We start from the raw sequence: 23,604 nt of genomic DNA on the forward strand, positions 1-23,604 counted from the left end.
TCCATCTGGAGCTTTGCTATAGGGTTGGTCATTTTCCATGGATCAAAATCCCAGATCTTGCAAGGGGTCTCGTGGTCTCCACCACCATTTTGTTTGCATAGGATTTCACAAGACTTTAGTCTCCCAGCTACCTTGAATGGAATGGGGAAACTAAGTAAGCTGAATTCCTATTAAAAAAAGGAGTATTGCCCACTTTGGGGGTAAGGGAGAGGTAGTAGAACATATTGCTCTGGAAAAGGAAATGAAGGAAAGAAAAAGCTCATACACCCTGCACTTGAACAAATTGGCTATCACTGGAACATGCCTTTGAAAAATTGCAATCTTCTGTCTCTGGCTAAGATTTTTAGAAAAATATTTGGAAAACTATTGTCATGACTAGATAATTAGAAGTGCTTAAGTTTGTTTTGAAACTCCCTTGATAATTTAATCCACAAATAATAAGTAATTTCTATGTTTGGAAATATATGATAGTCACTTTAATTCTTTTTTAAAATGTATGTTCCACTCATTACTATTAATTTTGTATAAATGAGCCTTTTACGTATTTTTCTCCTCAGATCATTTTATCCCCATTGAGAAGTACCAGTTCAGTCTTTACCCAATATTTATGGAAGGAGTGGGAAAACCAAAGATAATTAATAGTTTCACTCAAGGTAAAAATTATAATTTTAGTTTCCTTTTACACCAATGTGTGTGCCTAATTTGTTTGCAGTAATATTGCCATCTGATTATTCTTTTTCTGATAGAATCATGGAAGAGTCCAAAGTCTTCTGTAGATTTTTCATGGTGAGGTTCCAAAGGAAATATTTTTTTCCTCTAAAAATAAAACTGGAGCTATAGAAATAGAGTCACTGGGCCTCTTATATTTCTGATTCATCTTACTGTACTTGGAATACCAACATTTTGATTTTGTTATTACTTTTTAAATTGTCTTCAAATCTAAGCAACCTAGCAATGATATTTCAAGAGATAAACATTTCATTTGTTGTTAGAATAAAAATCATTAAAAAAATTCATACATGTATTATCCAACAGATATTAATTGAGCATTGTTCTAAGCACTGTGGATTGAATAGTGAACATAAGTTTCTGCCCTTATGGATCTTAAATACCAGTGCTCTAATTGAGAGTGATGGGCAAAAAATAATTATATAATGTCAGATAGAAATAAGTGCCATGAAGGAAAACAAAAGCAAGATAAAGGGATGGCATTAAATGTGGCACTTTAGTTGATAGCCAGAAATGGTCTTTCTATGGAGGTGGATGATATTCGAGTAAAACCTTGCAAGTACAGTAAGACCCTACTTGATATAGTCAATAGATTCTTGGAAACTGCAACTTTATGCAACATGAACTACAGGAGGTCCTTGAATAACATCATTTTGTTCAAGGTAGTTTCATTATAATGTTGATGAGAAAAAAAAGGTTTTGTTATACATTGCCATTTCACTTAACATTGCAGTTTCCAAGAGCCTATCAATGATGTTCAGTGAAGACATAACTGTACAAATAGCAAAAGCATTCCAGGCAAAGGGACAGTGTGTGAAGAGCCCCTAAAGAGTGGGGATGCTTGGTGGTTCAAGAAACAGCAAGGAAATCAGTGTGTGTGGAGTGAACAAGATAGAGATTGGCAGGTGTGGAAGGTTGGGTCCTCCAGGAGTAGATACTGAGACAGTCATCATAACAAGTTTGACACTTTGGCCCATTATAATGTAAAAATGATCAGGTAGAGAGGAATGGCAAATAAATAAATTTGAAAAAATATTTTGCTAATTTACAGTAGATATGATGCTGAACAAAATAATAAGTATTTTATTAATGTGATCACAACATATTTTTATCTTCATTTTTTATTTTTATATTTTTGAAGGTAATAAGAGATTTGTGATGAATTCAGAAAATGTCTACTATAATTTTTGATACAGAAAGAAATTAATATTTCCTCAAGTTTCTGAGTTGTGTAAATTGTATTTCTTTTTCAGATGATATTGAAAAACACCAGAGTGATGCAGGTTTATATGTAATTGTGCCAGTAATTATTTCCTCTTCCATCTTATTGCTTGGAACATTATTAATATCACACCAAAGGTATTGTACTTGAGGTTAAGAATCTTTACGGCAAAAGTCCTTACGCGTATTCAAACCCTGATTTAAAACCTTCTAAATTAGGAATATTAAAGTCTTCTAAGTGCTTTTATATGTAGTCTGTATACAATTAAGATAGCATAAAAAGGAAAGGCCTGTTGTGAGGAAATGGCATTCCATTTTGCTAGGACTGTAAGAGTTAAAGAATGAGGAAAGAAACACGAAACACAGCTTAACAGTTAAAGACAGGTTTTCTTTAGATAAAACCTGAGGGGCTTCTGGCCAATTTTGTTCAGGAGCCCCTTTCTCTTACAGACTAAGAGTATGTATTGGTTTTAGGGTGAGGGGGCTTATCACAAGCTTGGAATGTTTATGTGTGAGGGAGAAGTTTATGGCGGGGTTGGAATGTCTCTGGGAGGAGGGGAGGTTATCTTGGGGCTGACATCTTTCCAGCTGGATGGGGAGGGTTATCTTGGGGCTGGCATGTGCCTGGTCAGGGAGGATGGAATGTTTCTGGTTGGAGATGTTATTTGTGGTTTATGGTAATGCTGACCTTAGCCATTAGGCTGATGCCCTTTGGATTTAGGTGGTTTTTGATTAAGGGGAATTTTAATATGAGGTGCTTGTCCATGATGGTGATGCTCCTGCTCTGTCAAGGACAACATAACTTCAAGGAAGAATTTAGTTTTTTAAAAAAAATGTACATACATTCAGGAAACAACAAGCTTATAACAGGAAATCCTAAGCAGTATGTTCTTGGAGGTGGCAAAAATGGCTTTCAGAGTTCTGCAGTTTGGGTTAAGGACGTTTTGTGGTGAAGTGGGTGGTAAAAGTAGCCTTTTAGTGGTGACCTGGAGCAGTCAGTTCATTTATGATCAGCAGGCACTCTGCTTTTTAGAGATCAGCACTGTGTGGCTCCAGTCTGCTTGGCTTGTCAGGCAAATGCCTGAGTTCCGTGGATGGTGGCATGGGTGCCATGATACTCTCTGTGCTGAGAAGTCCAGTGTGGTTATTTTACACATGCCAAATCTCTGTAGAAACCATCGTCTTCAGGCAAAAAAGAGAGAGAGGAGATTTTAGAATCTGAATTTATCTTGTAGTTAAGTGAGTTGATGGGGCCACATCAAATGGAATTTTTTCTGGTACCCACTTTGTGACCATTTTTAATATTTCAATTTCTTTGAGAGAAATCTATCCAGTGTTTAGCATGGTGCTTGGCACACAGCTTTCAATAAGTATTGGCTATTTCTATTATTACAGTGATTTTCAGCTTGGGTCTAGATAAAAGTTTGGTAGAAATCTTCATGGGCTAGCATGTGAAAATGCATCTGACCCTACGGAGGCATAGTTGATCTGGTGGACTAATTTCTAGCTTGTCTGTTCACTAACTGTTCACATTTTCAATATGGATGTTTTTCTCTAATTTTGATGCCCTGTTTATCCTTTGTAGAATGAAAAAGCTATTTTGGGAAGATGTTCCGAACCCCAAGAATTGTTCCTGGGCACAAGGACTTAATTTTCAGAAGGTTGCTTTTTCAATTTTTTTTAACCCAGAATATATACGATTGCAATCTAGACGCCATATGACTTATAGAGCATTAAGCATTTTTAAGATTTAAAAGGTCATATTTTATTCAATTCATCTTAATATATCTGTTATTATATACTTTCAAGAATAGCAGGATGCAGGGATTTGAAATCAGGAAGAAACAAATTTCAGCGCATAGTTTATCGTATGAGAGTTCACAATATACATATGTTGCTTCTGTGTCACAGTACATAATAAAATAAATATTAGAAAGTTAAGGGTCAATCTGATGGAGAACAGATATTTGGATACACTTTTTTTGGTATAAACTGTATTTAGGCAAAAGGCTGGAATCAATATTTTTAATGTCTATAATTATCTCCATAATTATTTAAATAAATTAGAAAATTATATAATCCTCAAACATTACAATCTGAAAAATGCAGTGATCATAATAAAACTTATATTTATGCAGAAGTTCCATTCAAGTACAAGTACTTTATGAGAGTTAGTCAACTATAATAAAATAATTTGTATTTACTTCTATAGTAGGATTTTTCAGAAAGCTCTAAATTTAGTGACTGTTTTATTAATTCTCATAATGTCCCTTGAAGCAAAGCTAGCTTTCCACTCATAAAACTGGAAAAATAGAATTCAGTCAAGTCAAAATATACAGATTTTTAAACAATACTTATTTGGAGGTTATTATCCAGGTTTGGTGATTGCATCTTTATCATTAGTCACTTGTTAAAAGTTTTCAATGGTTTCCTTTTGAATACAAGATATAAACTAAAGCCCCCTGAAGCTATTAATAGTACTCAAGGACCTCTTTCTACAATCTGTTATCAACCTACCTATACGACTTTTTCTATCCCTGGGCCTTGATGATACCTTTACTGTTCCCATCCACCTTCACAGAGCCTTCCTTGTACATGAAGATCTTGCTCTAGGCCCTTCTTTCCTCAAGCCTTCCTTTAACCAGTGTAATTCAAAAGAATTTCTACCCCCTTTAAGTTCCTAGATCATTGTACTGTTTTTTTAATTGTGGATAGTGCTCTGAATTCAAAGACTGTATTTTATCCATCACAAATATTTGTAGTACTCCTCCTGCTGTTCTTTATGTGCAAAGCACTGAGATACATATTCTTACATTTATTAAGATTTTTACTTACATTCTCAATGTTTCAGTTTCCTCTTCTGTGAAATAGGCTGCTTACCTTATTAGGTTGTTTGCGGGACTAAAGAAGATGGTACTTGTGACATAGTAAGGTCTCAACAAATATTAATTATTATTGTACATATTTATGTATTTTATATTACTATTATTATTCTTTCAGTTACCCTATGGGACAAGTGTTATTCTCTCTATTTTGCAAAAGAGAAAGCTGAAGCTCATAGTGGTTCGGTAACTTGTTTTAGAGGCAAGATTAGCTTACCAGTTTGTCTGGCTTTGGAGCCTGTTCTAATAGCAGCTGTTCTCTATAGCAGTGGCTTCTTTTTCTTTCTTTCTTCTTCGCCATGACCCACAGTGAAAAAAACTTAGGTTGGTGCAAAAGTAATTGCAGTTTTGGCATTTTTAATGTATAAATACGTTTTACCTTCCAACCTAGTACACCATAGATACAGATATGCAAGACCGAAATGAAAGATACGCAAAGCAGCTTTACTTCTTGCTTGAAATAGAATGTTTTAAAATTCTATTTTATTTGTTAAAAATGCTGGTTGCAAGACACTAAATTGATTTCACAACATTCGAATGGCCTATGATTTGCAGTTAGAAAAACACTGTTCTACAGCTTATCAATGAATAAGTAAACAACTAATATTGTAGACATAATGAACAAAGAAAAAGATTGAATTGTAATTTTTCAGCAGGAGAAAGAATGCCCTGTCTTCAGAAGCAGCAGTAGTGTTGTTTTATATACGAACAATTCTTTTTATAGAAACTTCGCTTTGCCTGAGTCTAATCAGCCACACTCCTATATACTCCTCACCTGTGCTGTTGCTCACTAAGCCAGAGTCTTCTTTCATTAAAACAGTGTTGCCGAGTTTTTCAAGTAAATATTTTTTCTCTCATTTATCTTTTACTAAGAATTTATACAGTGACATTTTGTGTAGTTGTGATGATATTTCAGAGAGAGATATATATATGTCGTTCATTCATTTGTTCAACAAGCACATGGTGAGTATTTATATGTAAGGCTTGGCTGTTGCTAGGGTCTGGGAGAACAGATTTTTCTTACCATATGAGAAATAAGACAGTGAGGTCAGAGAAGAGTGGCTGGGTTGAAAGTAGAATAGGAAGAGCTTGTCTCCTTTTGCCTCTCTAAAATAGTTCTTTTCTATTCATTTCATCCATATATTCAATATGATTGAATACTTACCCTATACCAGTCACTATAGTATGCCCTGGCATTATAAGGATAAGAAAAACACTATGTGCTCCTGAGTATACAGTTTAATGGGGATGATAATCATTAATACATTTATCATGGAAATAGCATTACTTTTTTTTTGTACAAATTTATGGGGCACATGAGAAATTTTGTTACATGTATATAACATATAATGATCCAATCACAACCTTATAGTTGTAAACTACATGTTGTGAAAGAAGGGGTTCCATTGTGCTGAGCGCTTATAATGTGGGAACCTGGCTTAGTGTATCCGTGGGGGTGAGTGGATAAAGTTAAGCAAATTACATTTGGGCCAAGATCTGGTAGATGAACAATCATTAACTAGGTTTTGAGGCAGAGATGTGGTGTCCAGCTAAGTACCTGCAAACACTAAGTCATGTGGAAGGCAGTACCTAGCATATTCACAAACTGGAAATAGGAAGACTATAAGACTTTTTCTTAAATATGAGGGTTTTATGTCAAAAAACCTATATACTTATCTAAGTAAAATTGCCAAATTTTCAGTATATAGGTATATATTAATTCAGGGAATGATCATCTTACTTTTTAATGTCACTTAAAAAGAGGCTGAAACACTCTCTCTTCAGCATTTAAGCTCTGAAATCTTACCTATGGACCACCATGAAGTGGTTTCTCAGTGTTCAGGAGGGCCATGAAATGATCAGGCCCACATCAGCAAAATGCAGTTTAAACCTGCAGCAAATTATTTTTCCCTTTTCCAGAAAATGCCTGGCACAAAGGAACTACTGGGTGGAGGTTGGTTGACTTAGGAAATGCTTGTAGACTACGTCCTACCTCGCTGCCGCACCTGCTCTCCCTGAGGTGTGCACAATGCTGCCACAGGTCATCTGACAGACCTTATATACAAGTAGATTGAAATATTGCCACATTTTTTCAAGTTCTGGTAAATTAAAGAAATGTGAAGAATTTTTATAATACAGTGGGTGTGAATGTTCTTATTTGTAGGACTGATTTTTTAAAAATCTCTGGAAATATTTGACTTTCTAATCTTATAAATTATTTTTTAAGCACAGCTAACCCACAAGATGCTTAGTTTATTACTAGGGCTGACCAGGCGCATAAATAACACTATTAGGAATAAATTAGGTTTTGGAATATAATAGAACATTTAAAGAGTAAAGGAGAATATAACTTCAAAGATTTTATTAATGATAAAAATCTTCTAAAATTCATTAACTTTTTTCTCTTTAGCCTGTTGTTTTAATCTCCTAAACAATTAAAATGTACCCTTTTCTTTTTGAGACAGGGTCTCGCTCTGTCACCCAGGCTGGAGCGCAGCGGTGAGATCTCAGCTCACTGCAGCCTCGACGTCCTTGGGCTCAACTGATCCTCCCACCTCATCCCCTTTAGTAGCTGGGACCATAGGCGCGTGCCACCACGCCCGGCTAATTTTTGTAGATATGGGGTTTTGTCATGTTGCCCAGGCTGGTCTCGAACTCCCAGGCTCAAGTGATCCACCCACCTCAGCCTCCCAAAATGCTGGACTTAACAGATGTGAGCCACCACACCCTGCCTAAAATATGCTTTTTAAAGGAAAAATAATATAGTGTAACTCACTTTATATTACTAAACAGGAAAAGGCAAATTTACCATCCACCCTATGTTTCATATTCATGTTATTTAAATTATTTCATAGGGCTAATAGCCTTATATTTTCTGATGATAAAACTGAGGCCCAGAGTGGTTCAGTAGCTTGTCTTGCTCACCCAGCCTGTCCATGTAACATCTGTGGTTCAAATCCAGATCTATCTGACTCAAATTGATACCCGTGCCATCAGTTCCATATTAACAATGTATTTCTTAATATGCTTAATGCCACTAAATTATACACTTAAAAATAGTTCAAATGGTAAATATTGTTACGTATATTTTAACATCATAAAAATGGGCAAATGATGTGAATAGGCATTTCTCCAAAGAAGATACACAAATAGCCAAGAAGCACAAATGAAAATATCCTCAGTGTCATTAGATAATAGGGAAACACAAATAAAAACCACAAGATGCCCAGTAGGATGGCTATAATAAGAGACAGATAGTAAGTGTTGGTGAGAATAGAGAGAAATTAGAATTATCATATACTGACAGTGGGAATGGAATAGCAACTCTTTCGGTAAATAGTCTGACAATTCTTCAAAAGGTTAAACATAGAATTATTATATGATCCAGTAATTCCATTCCTAGGTATGTACTCAATAGAAATGAAATAGCAAATCCACATGGGAAGTTTTATAAGAATACTCATAGCAGTATTATTCATAATAGCCAAAATGTGAAAGTAACCCAAATGATGAATAAATAAGCAAACAAACAAAAAACTCACACTATATTGCAAAGAAAGCAGACCAGAGGAGCCTATTGTTTTTAAAAATAATTCAAATACAAATATAGTATTTTTTAAAGGAAGTAATAATTTCTATATCAAGTGTTTCCTTTAATTTGTTCTCCAAATTCAGATATTTTGAATATTGATTATTATGAAAGTACTCTTAACCTGAAATTTCTAGACATCTAACATGATTTTCAAAATCTTCCCTAAAATTAATCTATTCCACTTTTGAAGCTGTCATTTTCCTTCCCCTTGGTTTATATTAAATCTAAATCCTGAACCTATAATTATGTTAATCAAATGTGTTTTTAAAAATCCAATATTTTGAATGTATTTCTAAAAGAAAAATGAAAAGAAAACATTTATTTAAAACCACTATATGCCAGACATTGCTAACAATAGGATAATACCATATGTGATTAAAAATAATTTTGCCAATATAATTTCCTGCCAGATCTTTTTTCTTTTGTATGTTCCACTTCCTTTTCTCTTTTAAAATTAGTTTTTCTGGATAATATAAAGATGAAAATATAGGACAATATGAAAACAGCTCTATATTAACACAATATTTTAAAACTTTCTGCATTTTCTTCATTTTTAAAATAAATAAAAACTACAGGTAAAGTTTGTCCTGCTTGTTCCACTATTTCCGGTCCCTCCTCTTCCTGGAGGAACCCATGATTTCAAGAATGCTGTAGCCTGTGTTTGTCTAGTTTGTGCATTTATACTTTCCTACTTTCACATGTGTGTATCCATGACCAATGAAGAGTAATCCTTTGAAGTACTGAAAATGTTAATGTACCTTTCATATTATTCCAAAAATATCTCTGAACATTGTGTTTTGAGCTCTCTCCAAGTTGATGTAGTTAATTTAGTTCACACATTTGGACTGGTCTGTAGTATTCCATTATACAAACATAGCACAATTCATTTATTCCTCTACTGGTGGATGTTTAAGGTGTTTGAACACTTTTTTATATTTATTACAAAAAGTGCTGCAGGAAGTATGGTTGTATATGTCTCTTTGTTCTCTCATGTATATGATATTTCTCAATATTTAAAATTTTTTGAAAAAATATATGTGAATGACTTAATAATGAAATGTTACAGTTAAATATTTGAGTTTGGAAGACCACTTCATGAAAAGGACAGTCCCCTTTTCCACCCCTCCGTACCCTTAGTCTTGCTCTCCAAATGCCTCTTTAGTTAACTGTCTGACTTTTGGTTTTTCTGGTATGTCACCTTTTTATTTCTAAAAACCATATGCTTATGCCACTATGAAATGTAGACGGTATCTATTGATTTCTGGCTACAACGAGGATTTACTCCCACACATTATTCCCTCCTTGTGTTTCTACCCATATTGTCTTGTCACTTTTTTCAATTCCTTAAGTAATCATTTCTCCAACCTCAGAAAAATCTACTTAAACTTCCATTTCTTGTTCTTTTAAACAGAAGACTATTTCTTGGAGCTCCCCTGCTATTTTTTTTTTTAAATAAAAACATTAGCACTCTTACGCTTCCCTCCATTTCTCCCTCTACTTTCCAATCTCTAAATCTAAGTTTATGTTTTTCCTTAAGTCAGGGTTGATATGATGTTCTGTGTTGTAATTTGTCTGTGGTTTATTTTTAAAAATAGAAAAACTAATAAACTGAATTTGCATTGTTATGATTATGTAAATATTGTGACTTACTGAACCAAGTATTTAATAATATGTGATTACACTTCTCAGTGGTTCCGATGTCAAAGGGGAATTTTTTAAAAAATATATTAGATATATTCCACCTGTTGATCAAAATTGTGCCGAATTTTAGTTAGCTTCATTTTTAGTTTTTATCTTTTTTCTTTTCCTTAAGTTTCTAATTGTCCCTTCCTTCCTCTTCCTCCCTCCATTCTTTCATCCATTCATCCCTCTCTCCCTCCCTCTCTTTCTTTCTTTTCATGCTGTCTTTCTTTCTCCTTCCCCTTCTCTTCCCTCCCCTCCCATTATATAATCTATGCTGTTATGTTACCTATTTTATCCACTACCCCATCTTTACTGGAGGTGTTGTTCTAGTGGACTCTCCAGGAACTCCTCTATCCTCCTACTTCAATCAGGACTAGGCTTTCTCTAAAATTACTATAAGCCATCACTCTAAACTTTCCCTTAACTGGTTTCTGGTTAGTACTGTTTCCTGGATTCCTTTCCTTCATCTTTCTTAACTACACCCTTAAGTAACCTCCTAAGAAGTATGCGATAAGTCTCCATCTCTCCATGCCTGAACTGCCTTTTATTCTGCCCTCCTCGATTGTTAGTTTGGTGGAGTATCAATTCTTAGAAATAGCCTTTCCAAGAGAACATTGAGATAATTCCTGCCTTAACATATAGTATCCAGTGTTGCTTCTGAGCAGTCAGATACTATTGTGATTTTTACTCCTCACTGTTTACTTATAATTTCCTTTTTAAACAGATGCTTGAAGGCAGCATGTTCGTTAAGAGTCATCACCACTCCCTAATCTCAAGTACCCAGGGACACAAACACTGCGGAAGGCCACAGGGTCCTCTGCATAGGAAAACCAGAGACCTTTGTTCACTTGTTTATCTGCTGACCCTCCCTCCACTATTGTCCTATGACCCTGCCAAATCCCCCTCTGTGAGAAACACCCAAGAATGATCAATAAAAAAAAAAAAGAAAGAAAAAAAAATTCTCCTCATTTTTGTTGTTTTGAATTTTCAGTGATGAATCTGGAGTGGTTCTTTTTTTATTTAATGTGGTTATTTTTTGAAGAGACTTTCAATTCCATGTCTCCTGTCAATTCTAAGAAATTATATTATTTCTTTGATAATTTCCTCTCCTCTTGTTTCTTTGTTTCTCTTTCTAGAATCTGTATGTTGGATGATGGACCCTCTGCGTAGATCTTCCACATCTCTTACCTTTTATCTCATATTTTCGGTTTCTTTGTTTTGTGTGTGTGTGTGTGTGTGTTATATTCTGAGACCTTGCCATACCCTCTTCTTCCAGTGCTTCTGTTGGATTTTTATATACTATTATTTTTGTAAATTTCCAAGTATTCTTTCTCAGAGTATTCTGTTCTGGTTTTATGCATATTTTCTTAAATGTTGCTAGAAATACCAATTCGAGGATTTTTGTTCTTTTATTTTAAAAATTCTTTTTTCTTCTATTCCCTGAATTCTGTGTTCCTTCTAGGTCGTGTGTTCCTGTTGTTTATCTTGGCCTCTCTTTTATTATCTCAGACTTTCCTCCTAATATCTGGTAATCCTTTGTTTTCCTTTCATGTTTAGGAATGAAACAGTAGACAGGCTGACTGGGAGCCCAGTGTATATAGGCAGGGATTGTTGCCCTGGGTGAGTAGGCAGGGTTCTGGCCAGATGAGGAAAGATGTGCTCTCAGCTAGCAATATTCCATGGCTGCTGTCTTCCTCCCCAGACAGTTCCTTAGTTGCTTTTGAGAACAAACCCTCAGTCTGGTTGTGAAGGGTAGTTCTTACATGGAGGCTCTTCCATGTTCAGCAGAGGAGTAGAAGAGCCCTATTCCATATACAGAACTTCCATTAGGCCCCAGTTTCCAGCCACAGTTCTCTTGTCTTCATGTGTTTTTACGTGCCATTTCTTCACGCACTGTCTCCGCTGTATACGGCAGGGCTAATTTTCTTTCTCCTGAGCTGCAGCTGGATATATTCTGGTCTTCAGCTTTCTTTGCTCACCTTCTTTGATCTATACTCTTCCAATTGTTTTCTATCTTTTAGCAATGAATGAAAATTACCCACTTCTCATTAGCCCTCTCAGATCATCTTCTTTGTGGTGGGTCTGTATTTGACTCATTTACATACTGCCATTCCAACAGAATCTCTATAGAGACAAGAGAGAAACCTGTTCAGTCAGCCATCTTGAATCAGAATACCATTTCTGTTTATACCTTAAAAATCAGAATCTTAAACATATATTGAATTTTTGTTGTAAGAAAATGTGTTATGATAACTCATTAGCCTTGCTTTTCTTCCAATTCAAATTTTAGAGTGTAAAAGAACTATTACCTTTCTTACTTTGTTTTGCACCTTTTTACCTTAGCATTTCTGCCTAATTTGTTAAATTTCTTCTAAATCCAAATCACCTGGGTTTTTCCCTTAAAGATATTTTAAGCCTCTTTAATTCATTTTCAATTTGTTCCACTCCTTTTTATTCTTTATTTTACAATATTTTTCTCATTCTCTGTTTTTTGTTTGTTTTTATCCAGCCATGCTCCTGTGTCTACATTTATGCCAGCTTTCACAAGAGTTTACTCCATTTAACAACTTCCTTTAGCGGGGCTAAAGCTAGAAACAAATAGATTTTTCCTTGGGATCTAAAAACTATCTTAGATTCCCCAGTCAGCCCTAGGCCTCCAAATAAAGCAGCTCAATAACCCGTGGCCTCCCAGAACACCATCCTCACAGATCTGAATCAGAAGCATCCCTAAAGTTGCTAGATGGCCTTCCAAATGTGTGGAAGAGCTGGTGCATTTTCGAGTTAGAAGTTCTGTTTAGAAGTAGCCATCTCCCCTATGCCCAGAAATGCACATTACTGGGCCTAGAAGTGTGTATTTCACTCCCCTAAAAATGTAACCTCAGTTTTGTTTATTTTCTTGTTCCTTATAGCCCTCAGGTTATGAGGAACCAGGAGAGAGTATAAATTAATCAGCTGAACTTTGTCACAGCGAGTAGTAAAAGGGAAACAAAGAACATGTTCTTCTGCCTATTTGTGTTTGGGACAACCTTTCATCTTCTGTTGTGTTATAGAAAGATTGTTGGACTAGAAAAAAAGAACTAAGTCAGGGTCCTCCCTCTACTCTAATTAGCCATGTAACCTTTAGCAAATAATCTTGGCAGCCTCAATTGCTTTGTCAGAAAAAAGGGAGACACTTGGACCATATAATTTCTGAGATCTTATTTCTAGATTTTAAAAACCCATGGTAATGAATGGTTCTGTGATTCTATTCTTTACCATTTTTAGCACTTCTTTCTCTTTATTTTTTTTAAATTTTTCTTTTCACTGCTCTCCTCTTTTATTTTTTCTTGTTCCAAACTATCCTATATTGCTGTTGGTTCTCCCTCTTTAAATTTTTCCAGCTCGTTGTTCTTCTCTCCTTTTACCTATTCTGTTATTTCCCTATAGTTTTTCCCTTCCTGGGGTAATTAAAGCTGTCCTTAGAGTGTGATATTAAAACATTCATTAAGAAAATGGGAGAAGCCACCTTAGTTCAAAATTTTGCCCTTTCCCAAAAGGATGCATTATTGTAACCTAACACAAAAATTTATAGTCCAGAACCCATGCTTGACAATGTTTTTTGAAATCTTTTATCTTTTTCTTTGTGAGTGATTTTTTATTTTGCTTTCTTATTTTGTTTTATTTTATCTAAACAGAGAACGGACATTCTTTGAAGTCTAATCATGATCACTACAGATGAACCCAATGTGCCAACTTCCCAACAGTCTATAGAGTATTAGAAGATTTTTACATTTTGAAGAAGGGGAGCAAATCTAAAAAAAATTCAGTTGAACTTCTGAGAGTTAACATATGGTGGATTATGTTGATTTAGAACTTAAAATAGATGTGTAAATTTGGGTTCAAAATGTAGATTTGAGTCCAGTTTGGATGTGTGATTAATTTTCAAATCATCTAAAGTTTAAAAGTAGTATTCATGATTTCTGGCTTTTGATTTGTCATATTCCTGGTCATAAAACATTAAGAAAATTATGGCTGTTGCTGTCATTACATATCTATTAAATGTCATCAAATATGTAGTAGACAATGCTGTAATTAGGTGAACTCTAAAACTGCAACATCTGACAAATAGCTTTAAAAATACAATGATTATAAGTATGGAATCAGTGAAAATATTTAGTTTGTATTTTTATGTCCAAACTTTTCCATTTTAGATTCCTTTATAGACACGTCAGCCTAAAAATCAGCCTATTCGGGTGTTCTTTTGAATATCTCCTGGCATTTTTGTATCTAACTTTGTTCAATCTGGGAATTTCAGTTTTCAATATCCTTGAAAATGGCTTAAGTGATAACTTCCGTTTCAGTTAAAAGGAAGCCCGAAGTTGTGTTTGTGCTGCCCACAGGACAGTGGGAGTTACAGTTCATATCAGGATGACCCTACATACCCAGGTCAGATTGACGGGACCAGAAGGGAACATCGACTTCTAATCCAGCTTTCTTGTTTAATTATGACCTAAATCTAATTTACTTCCACTGAACCATCCAAGACCTCTGGCAGGCAGGGAAATGGGCAGTGATGCAAAAAAGGGAGACTCTTTGGAGCTTTTATGAATAGTTCATGGTGAGGACAGAACTTTTCTACTTTCAGACAGACTGCTTGCTAGTTTTATGAATTCAGCACACGAATTATGCTGCGTTGCTCACATTCAAACCAAACCAACGACTATGTTTAATGAACTCAGTATTCAAATTTATTATATATGCGTATATATGTATATATGGATCCCTTATATTTAGATTTAACTCGTAGTTTTATTTGAAAGTAGAAAAGAACTCTACAAAAACGGGAAGAATGTGTCTTTCTTCCCTTCTTGACTTCTAATAGGTGTCATTGAAATGTAAAATCTAAGTATGAAATTATGAAAGGACATTCTTTAATTACTGCCCACTCAACACATATTTAATATGTGCCCAGATTATTCTAAAATCTTAAAAAAAGATGCATATAGTGAAATTTTTTAAATGGATATACTTTTAATAAAGTTTTATAACTCACTGACAAAACATATTTCAATAGTATATGAGTATGAGATTTCTTATCAATTATGAGTGAAATATTCTATCTGAATGCATTGGAAGGCATTTACAGTATTTGCTTTCAACAGTTACTGAGTATGACATTTTAGCATGAAATATATCAAACACATCATTTGAAGGACATATGTAATCTTGACTATGGTTATGGTTTTTTTGTATGTATTCCTTGTTTTCATATTGATAGCATCTAATTCTTTTGACAATCTTAATATGTAGGTTCATTTAAATTTTAAGACAGTTCAGTGCATATATAGTAGAAGCCTTAAGAAAAAAGAAAATGAGCAAGCAAATATTTGAAGAAATGTATAAAACCATAGATTTCTTTCAGAAAAAAAAAACAGGCATAGGAACAGTTTTCTCTTCATATATTATGATTATGAATAATAGGAAAGTTGTATTAATTCAGTATTTGTCATTATGCAGTATTTTAATACCTACATAAGTCTATTCCATTATTATATTTTGCGCTTGGCATATTTATTCCTTTATGCTTTTAATCACTAACATATTTTACTTAAGAGTATAAAACTATGCTAAATAAATTGTATTGTATATGGAATATGCTTGCCATTATGAAGAACAGCTGGGTATACCATTATTTCAAGTAATAAATCTGAATTCTATTAGTTTAAAAATTGTAAAATTCAAGTTAAATGACGTGTATGATATATAAGCTGAACACATTTTCTATAGCCCTTAATTTAGTTGTGTTAATTTTTCAAGGTGATGTATCAACAGCTTTTTTTATTTTGCATTTGTTTTTTCAATGTGTTTACATTGTATGAATTGAGCTTTTTGCCCACAGATTCTTGATTTGTAGTTGTTTGGCAGGATTTTTCTTTGTGATATAATCACTTCTATAAAAAATATGATGTACATTTGTCTTGTGTATTTGTCTTCATTTCACATGTCCATAGTAAATATTTTTACGTGAAGTTATTTATAAGGAATAGTAATTTACCAGTTTGTGATCATCTCTTTCATCATCATTGTTCTCTACATATGATATTATTAGCTCTTATTTTCAGATAGTCTCAAGCAGATTCTCAGTATACAGCAGATAAGTTTTTAATAGTCAACACAATTATTTTACTTTCATACCATATCTTATTTCACAACATAGTTATTTTAACTGTTTTTAGACAAGTTATTTTGGTCATTTCATTTCAATCCACTTTTTTCTATTTTGGGCTAACATTTTTAGTTTATGGGAATGTAATTTGCTACAAAATATTAGGAAGGAAATATCTTCAGAAGATAGCATTTTCCAATGACAGTAACCAATCTTTCCTGAGAGCTAAGCACTTGCAGACACTAATTTATTTCTAGCCACAATACCATGAAGCACATTTTTAGAGATGATGAAATTGAAAGGCAGAGAGGTTAGTGTACTTGTTCATGGTTGTAGAATTGGAAGAACTCAAGTCTAAGTCTGTCTTGTCCCACTTTCAAATGCTATCATCTTAAACGGGCTCTTCCTTATGCTTTTTGATATATGTATTTTAGTCAAAAACTAGTTAATTTGTGGTTGACTTATGTTCTTTATTATTAACTTAACACACTTCCATTTCTGCCAGTATGACATAATGAAGCAAAATTTTTTAACATAATTGAGCCTTAAAATGTGTCTTTTCTTTTAGCCAGAAACGTTTGAGCATCTTTTTATCAAGCATACAGCATCAGTGACATGTGGTCCTCTTCTTTTGGAGCCTGAAACAATTTCAGAAGATATCAGTGTTGATACATCATGGAAAAATAAAGATGAGATGATGCCAACAACTGTGGTCTCTCTACTTTCAACAACAGATCTTGAAAAGGGTTCTGTTTGTATTAGTGACCAGTTCAACAGTGTTAACTTCTCTGAGGCTGAGGGTACTGAGGTAACCTATGAGGACGAAAGCCAGAGACAACCCTTTGTTAAATACGCCACGCTGATCAGCAACTCTAAACCAAGTGAAACTGGTGAAGAACAAGGGCTTATAAATAGTTCAGTCACCAAGTGCTTCTCTAGCAAAAATTCTCCGTTGAAGGATTCTTTCTCTAATAGCTCATGGGAGATAGAGGCCCAGGCATTTTTTATATTATCAGATCAGCATCCCAACATAATTTCACCACACCTCACATTCTCAGAAGGATTGGATGAACTTTTGAAATTGGAGGGAAATTTCCCTGAAGAAAATAATGATAAAAAGTCTATCTATTATTTAGGGGTCACCTCAATCAAAAAGAGAGAGAGTGGTGTGCTTTTGACTGACAAGTCAAGGGTATCGTGCCCATTCCCAGCCCCCTGTTTATTCACGGACATCAGAGTTCTCCAGGACAGTTGCTCACACTTTGTAGAAAATAATATCAACTTAGGAACTTCTAGTAAGAAGACTTTTGCATCTTACATGCCTCAATTCCAAACTTGTTCTACTCAGACTCATAAGATCATGGAAAACAAGATGTGTGACCTAACTGTGTAATTTCACTGAAGAAACCTTCAGATTTGTGTTATAATGGGTAATATAAAGTGTAATAGATTATAGTTGTGGGTGGGAGAGAGAAAAGAAACCAGAGTCAAATTTGAAAATAATTGTTCCAAATGAATGTTGTCTGTTTGTTCTCTCTTAGTAACATAGACAAAAAATTTGAGAAAGCCTTCATAAGCCTACCAATGTAGACACGCTCTTCTATTTTATTCCCAAGCTCTAGTGGGAAGGTCCCTTGTTTCCAGCTAGAAATAAGCCCAACAGACACCATCTTTTGTGAGATGTAATTGTTTTTTCAGAGGGCGTGTTGTTTTACCTCAAGTTTTTGTTTTGTACCAACACACACACACACACACATTCTTAACACATGTCCTTGTGTGTTTTGAGAGTATATTATGTATTTATATTTTGTGCTATCAGACTGTAGGATTTGAAGTAGGACTTTCCTAAATGTTTAAGATAAACAGAATTCAGCCCTGGCCTAAGGGGTTATACTTGTGAAGACTAATGAGCCAATTGTTATGTACCAAATCTAAGATATGTACCATAGAATGAAATAACCTGCAAGAATGGTGATGCCCACAATCAGTATTTTGATGACAACACAAGCACTTTTGAAAACATAATGTCAGTTTTAATTCTTCTCTCTGAAAGATGTTGAAGTGGTCACTTTCTGATAAAGTTAGATTGCCAAATGTCACTGTATATCTCTCCGGAATAATTGTCTTCCCCCATCCCCACCTGGACATATCCTATTTTTTCCCCTCACTGAGCATTCTGTCTACATAAACCAACCACTGTGCAGTACTTTACATACCTTAACCCAGTTAATTATTGAAATAATTGTATGAGACATCTGTTACTATGATACTCCTTAAAGATGAAGACAGTAAATAATTTGCCCACAGTTACAGTCAGTGGGTGATGGAATCAGAGTTCAGATTTAAATCCAGATTTTTTAATGCTAATGATTATGTTTTTAACCTATACCCTACATAGCCATCAATTTAAAAAAACTGACTTGTAATCAAAATTTATTAAGTAGAGGCTGGCACAGTGGTGCATGCCTGTAATCCCAGCACTTTGGGAGGCTGAGGCGGGTGGATCGCTTGAGCTCAGAAGTCTTGAAACTAGCCGGGGCAACATAGTGAGGCCTCGTCTCTACAAAAAACACAAAAATTAGCTGAGTGTGACAGAAAAAATAAAGATTATAAAATGTATTAAGTAGAAGTATAATGCTGGATGAGAAATTAAGTGAGAATTGCACAGATCTCATGTTTGCCTTTAACAACTTAAGATTAATACATAAGTTTATTATTTATTCAACTTTTGGTACGGTAAAAAAATTCAAAGACAGCATATTGGGCAACAAACTAAATTAAGAAACCTGCACATTTGGATGTTCAGTGGCAAGAAGACCTTCAAGAATATCAGTATCATCAAAATAAGTACTTTAGTGTTCAAAAATATGCCTATGGGTTTTTAAAAATTATCAGAATTTCATATTTAGACCGAGACAAGAGACTCCCAATTTTACTGTTATCCTAAATAAATCTCTACATTCCATCTCTAGTCCAGTTGTGGCTATGAAGTGAGCAGTTCTAAACAATGACAAAGATTCCAGACCCCACTTGATAGATATTTTTCACACTTTATAATCAATTTCCACTCAGGAATCAATAAAGTTATTCCATGTCATAAGTATTTTTAAGATGTCTCAGGATCTCACATACTCAACTAATGACCCCCTTACAAGAAATAGGTAAAGGGCTGATAGCAACTCATTACTTGATGTGGTACGAGAGCCTTAGTTCTATGCAAAGATAAATGGAGAAGCGTTTTTTTCATGGATAATTTTACATGGCTTTAGAGACACAGAAACAGATAAATTATTACATGTATAAAAATTTTAGTAAAATTGACATTTTAAATACATGCTTATAGATTATTGGTATTTAATTGAAGGTACAGTACAGAAGAGATAGAAAAATAAATTTTGCCCCACTCTGAAATTGAAGACTGACCTCTGAGCATGTCCGCTGAGACACAGTATTCTCCTGTGATCTGGGACCCAGAATAACAGGAAAGAGAAACTGATAGATGTTTTCATCAGCCCAAGGATGTATGTATCTTACTTGAGTGAATTCAACAGTCCCAGGACCACTGTAGTGCTGTAGGTCTGTGTAAAGAAATGTAGTGACAGCACATTAACCTGAGATCATTGATACCATCTTGGTTCAGCCTCAGTTCCCCAGATAAGTGAACAAATGAACAAAAATGCACTTCAGAAATATTGAAATTCCAAGGCACTATTTCATGGACAGTGCTGAACAAGTATAGTTTGGCCTATTGGTATGTATAGACTTAGATCATATTTATTGTCAATGGGCTTGAATTCTGATTTCCACTTTTGAAAGTTTATTTCACTATGTATCATTACATTTTATTGGGACCTTGTGAAAACTACCTGCCATGAAATACTGGATTTTCACATAATTTAGAAAAAATTTAGAATGTTTTATGCCTCAGAATGGTCAGGAACTTCCCATTTCTTCCCACAGCTTCTATAAAAAAAATTTAAAAGGAAGGAGGAGCTGAAATAGGGGCTATGGTCTTTTAAACTTATAAATCTGGAATTTTTAATATTTCATTTTAAGGCCTTAAACCGAAACACAAGCTACTAATCAGTCTTTCTAAATCTGACCTTCATTGAAAGCAACTCAGAAATTAATAATTTGTGCTGTGGCTTCAAGTTTAAATAGATTGTTTGAAGAGAAATCATATGTCAGGGTTTGCAGGATTACAGGATTTCTAACTTAAACCCCCAAGAACAATGAAAAAGTTGACGTACATGTCACTATGAATAGGCACCTTCTGTTGGATCTCTGTGTCCATTTAGAGATGAGCTACAAGTTGACAAGAAAAATAGGAGCAGTTTTTTTTTTCTTTTTAAACCTAGTCACCAAATGGTAAAAGGACTTGGATGAAATTCCAATACCAGTGTGAGATTCTGGATTTAGAATAAGGTTTTATAACCTTAGGCATGTCATTCTTCTACTTCTCATTTTTCCCTAATAAAACTTATTCTCTCTTCCATAATATCATATATATGGTCACATTACTTCAGGAATATTTATATTACCTCCTCCAAAACTGAAAGAAAATAAACTTTAGGCTGTAAGAGTTGAGAATTATGCATACAGGGCTCACAGGCGGAGTTGGACAATATGCTGATGGATCAAGACATACTGCAACCACAAAGTTCCATCTCACTTAGATGTGGATGAAAAAAGATCTCTTGCTAAATTATTTTCTGTGACCTTAAAAGAAATTTGTTTCACTTTTCATCTTTCAAGGGTCATCTTGATAGTTACCTTAACAAACCTTTCTCAGCTATTTATTATTGAGAAAGCCCATTCTTAAATTTTAAGTCACAAAATTATAGTTGTCCACTCTACTATGACTGAAAGAAGCAGCATTCAAGAAAAAATTTAAACATAGTTACCAAGAAATGTGAAGAAGTATTTATAAAAGGAAGCTACATAAGTAGGTAATTTTACTCTTTCTTAACCAGTTTAAAACAGTAAAGCACACCTGCATCTAATCACAATGTTAGGCGAACAACTTAAAACATGATCAGCCTGTATGAGAACTGGGATATTGTTACATATTCAGCCTGTATGAGAACTGGGATATTGTTGTTACATGTATTTGTATAAACATTAGGAGATGATTTCCATGGCTTTTTTTTTTTTTTTTTTAGGAAGTCTTGCTCTGTTGCCCAGCTGGAGTGCAGTGATGTGATCTCGGCTCACTGCAACCCCTGCTTCCCAGGTTCAAGCGATTCTCCTGCCTCAGCCTCCCCAGTAGCTGGGATTACGGGCACACCACCATGCCCAGCTTTTATTTATTTATTTATTTATTTTGGATTTTTAGTAGAGATGGGGTTTTGCCCTGTTGGCCAGGCTGGTCTTGAACTCCTGACCTCAAGTGATCCGCCCTCATTGGCCTCCCAAAGTTCTGGGATTACAGGTGTGAGAGCTGCCGCGCCTAGCCCTTCATGAGGTTTTATAGTGAATGAATTATTTTTCTATAAAGTTTATCAATATTTATTTTGGAAAGCTGCTGAAAATGTCTTTTTCAAAATTAATTATGCTTAAGATGTATGGCATTAAATTCAATTTTATGAGGCTTTCTGACATATTTACTAAAAAAACCTGGAACTGAGACTGAATTTGGAAGACATTTAATTTTGTAGTGAGATATCTATATTGTAGATATTGTACTTTTAAAACCTGTCATTAAGTGTTTGGCATGTGGTTAATACTTTCTCTTTAGTCACAACTGGTATTTTAATAAATGTTATAAACGTAAGTGCCAAGATATGCATCACTAACTGTTCTATGAAATTTGTCTACTTCTCCTTTATGTTCCCAAAGTCACAGAGAAAGCAGTGTACTTTATGACAGTATATTTATCTTTTTATCATTATGAATTATAAGCAGTGTTAATTTTGAGAAATAAAAGTCCAAAAAGAATTATTATGAGTTTAAGTTACTTTAGGATTATATCTGTTGTATGGTAAATAAAATAATGATATTATTTCAGCTAACATTTGAAAATATAAAGAAGTAATCCTTGTGGTTTATACAAACAGTTAATACAAAATGTTTATCCATTGTTAGCCTGTCGTTGTGTCTTCAAAATTCCGAAAGACATATGCTTAGCATTTGTAAGGGGTTTGAAAACATTTTAGTTCCCAGGACCTCCCTTTACTGTTACTCTCTTTGGTAATGTCTCAATAGATCATCCCACACCAGATTCTTGCTGGCATTATAGCCGCTTGTGATGAAAGATTACTCATTTTAATCATCAAGAAAGATACTCGTTTCAATCTTTAAGAGCTCTTTAGTTTGAGTCTTTAGGTCTTGTAGTTTGAGTCTTTAGTTCTCTAAGAAATCTTGATTTATAGTGATTTATGAACATATGTTTTATCACTTAGGCTTTCTAGCAATTTGTGTTTTGTCACTACTTGAGCTTGTATTCAGACATATATCTCTTTTTCTTGCTTTTTAATCTTAAAGTGTAATTAAAACAAATGCACACAGAAAACCTTTCGAATAGTACTGAGAAATATAAAATAAAAAGTGATGGTCTCTTTCCACTCCCAATCTTCCGTTCCTATTCCCTAAAATAACCCTGTTATTATTTTACCATTTTAAAAGCATGTACACAGTTAGGATATTATTCTGCTTAATATTATGAAATTACCCTTTTCCTGTATCTTAGCGATATTTCTATATAAATTCAAACATAGCTACTTCATTAATTTTAATAGTTGCATAGTATTCCATTTTGCCAAAATACAATAATTTAACAGTTCACAATTGGTGAATATTTAGAAACTCTCCAATCTTTTTTACTATTATGAGCAATACTGAAGTGATCATTCTCATACGTAATTATGTCTTGTCATGCTTTTGTAAAACTACTTGTCAGGAATTTTGGTTGCAAATGTGGTAAATGAACTCAAATTGGCTTCAGTATCATTTTGGTATTTTAATTGTAACTTGATGAATGAAATGGAGCGTATTTTCATATGTTTATAAGCATCTGTTTTCCTCTACTTTTTATATTCATGTTATTTTCTTTTGCCTATTTTTCTATTAGGATTTTTGATTTCTTATCATTCATTTTACATTTGTGTTCTTAAGTTTTTCTTGAGATATGTACCGTAAAATGCACAAGCCTTCGGTATATAGTTTAATGAATTTTTACACATTTCCTCCTGAGTATATACCTAGGAGTAATACTGCTGGGTCATAGGTTAGGATTTTGTTTTGCTTTAACAGATACGTCCAAGTAATGGTTGAATAAATTTATGCTGCCATCAGCAACATAGGACAGTTCCAGTTGCTCCATATATCATATCATGATCAACATTGATATTGAC

The 23,604-nt window shown here is 34.2% G+C and overlaps 1 protein-coding gene across 6 annotated transcripts in view; it reads left to right on the top strand.

Annotated features, from left to right (window-relative positions):
• Window positions 1–22,189, top strand: part of LEPR (leptin receptor) — a 220,908-nt gene extending 198,719 nt beyond the window's left edge. For 2 of the 6 annotated variants that reach the window (NM_001003679.3, NM_001198689.2), the window contains 4 exons: window positions 558–653; window positions 1,983–2,088; window positions 3,536–3,611; window positions 13,782–16,058. In NM_001003679.3, the coding sequence (NP_001003679.1) occupies window positions 558–653; window positions 1,983–2,088; window positions 3,536–3,611; window positions 13,782–13,799 (296 nt within the window). In that variant the 3' untranslated portion in view covers window positions 13,800–16,058. Of the gene's footprint in view, window positions 1–557; window positions 654–1,982; window positions 2,089–3,535; window positions 3,612–6,752; window positions 6,865–10,831; window positions 11,067–13,781; window positions 16,059–16,820 lie in introns of those variants that run through there. The other 4 variants (NM_001003680.3, NM_002303.6, NM_001198687.2 and 1 more) reach the window with 4 other exon arrangements.

This window comes from Homo sapiens, chromosome 1 (genome assembly GCF_000001405.40).
Source record: "Homo sapiens chromosome 1, GRCh38.p14 Primary Assembly".
NCBI lineage: Eukaryota > Metazoa > Chordata > Mammalia > Primates > Hominidae > Homo > Homo sapiens.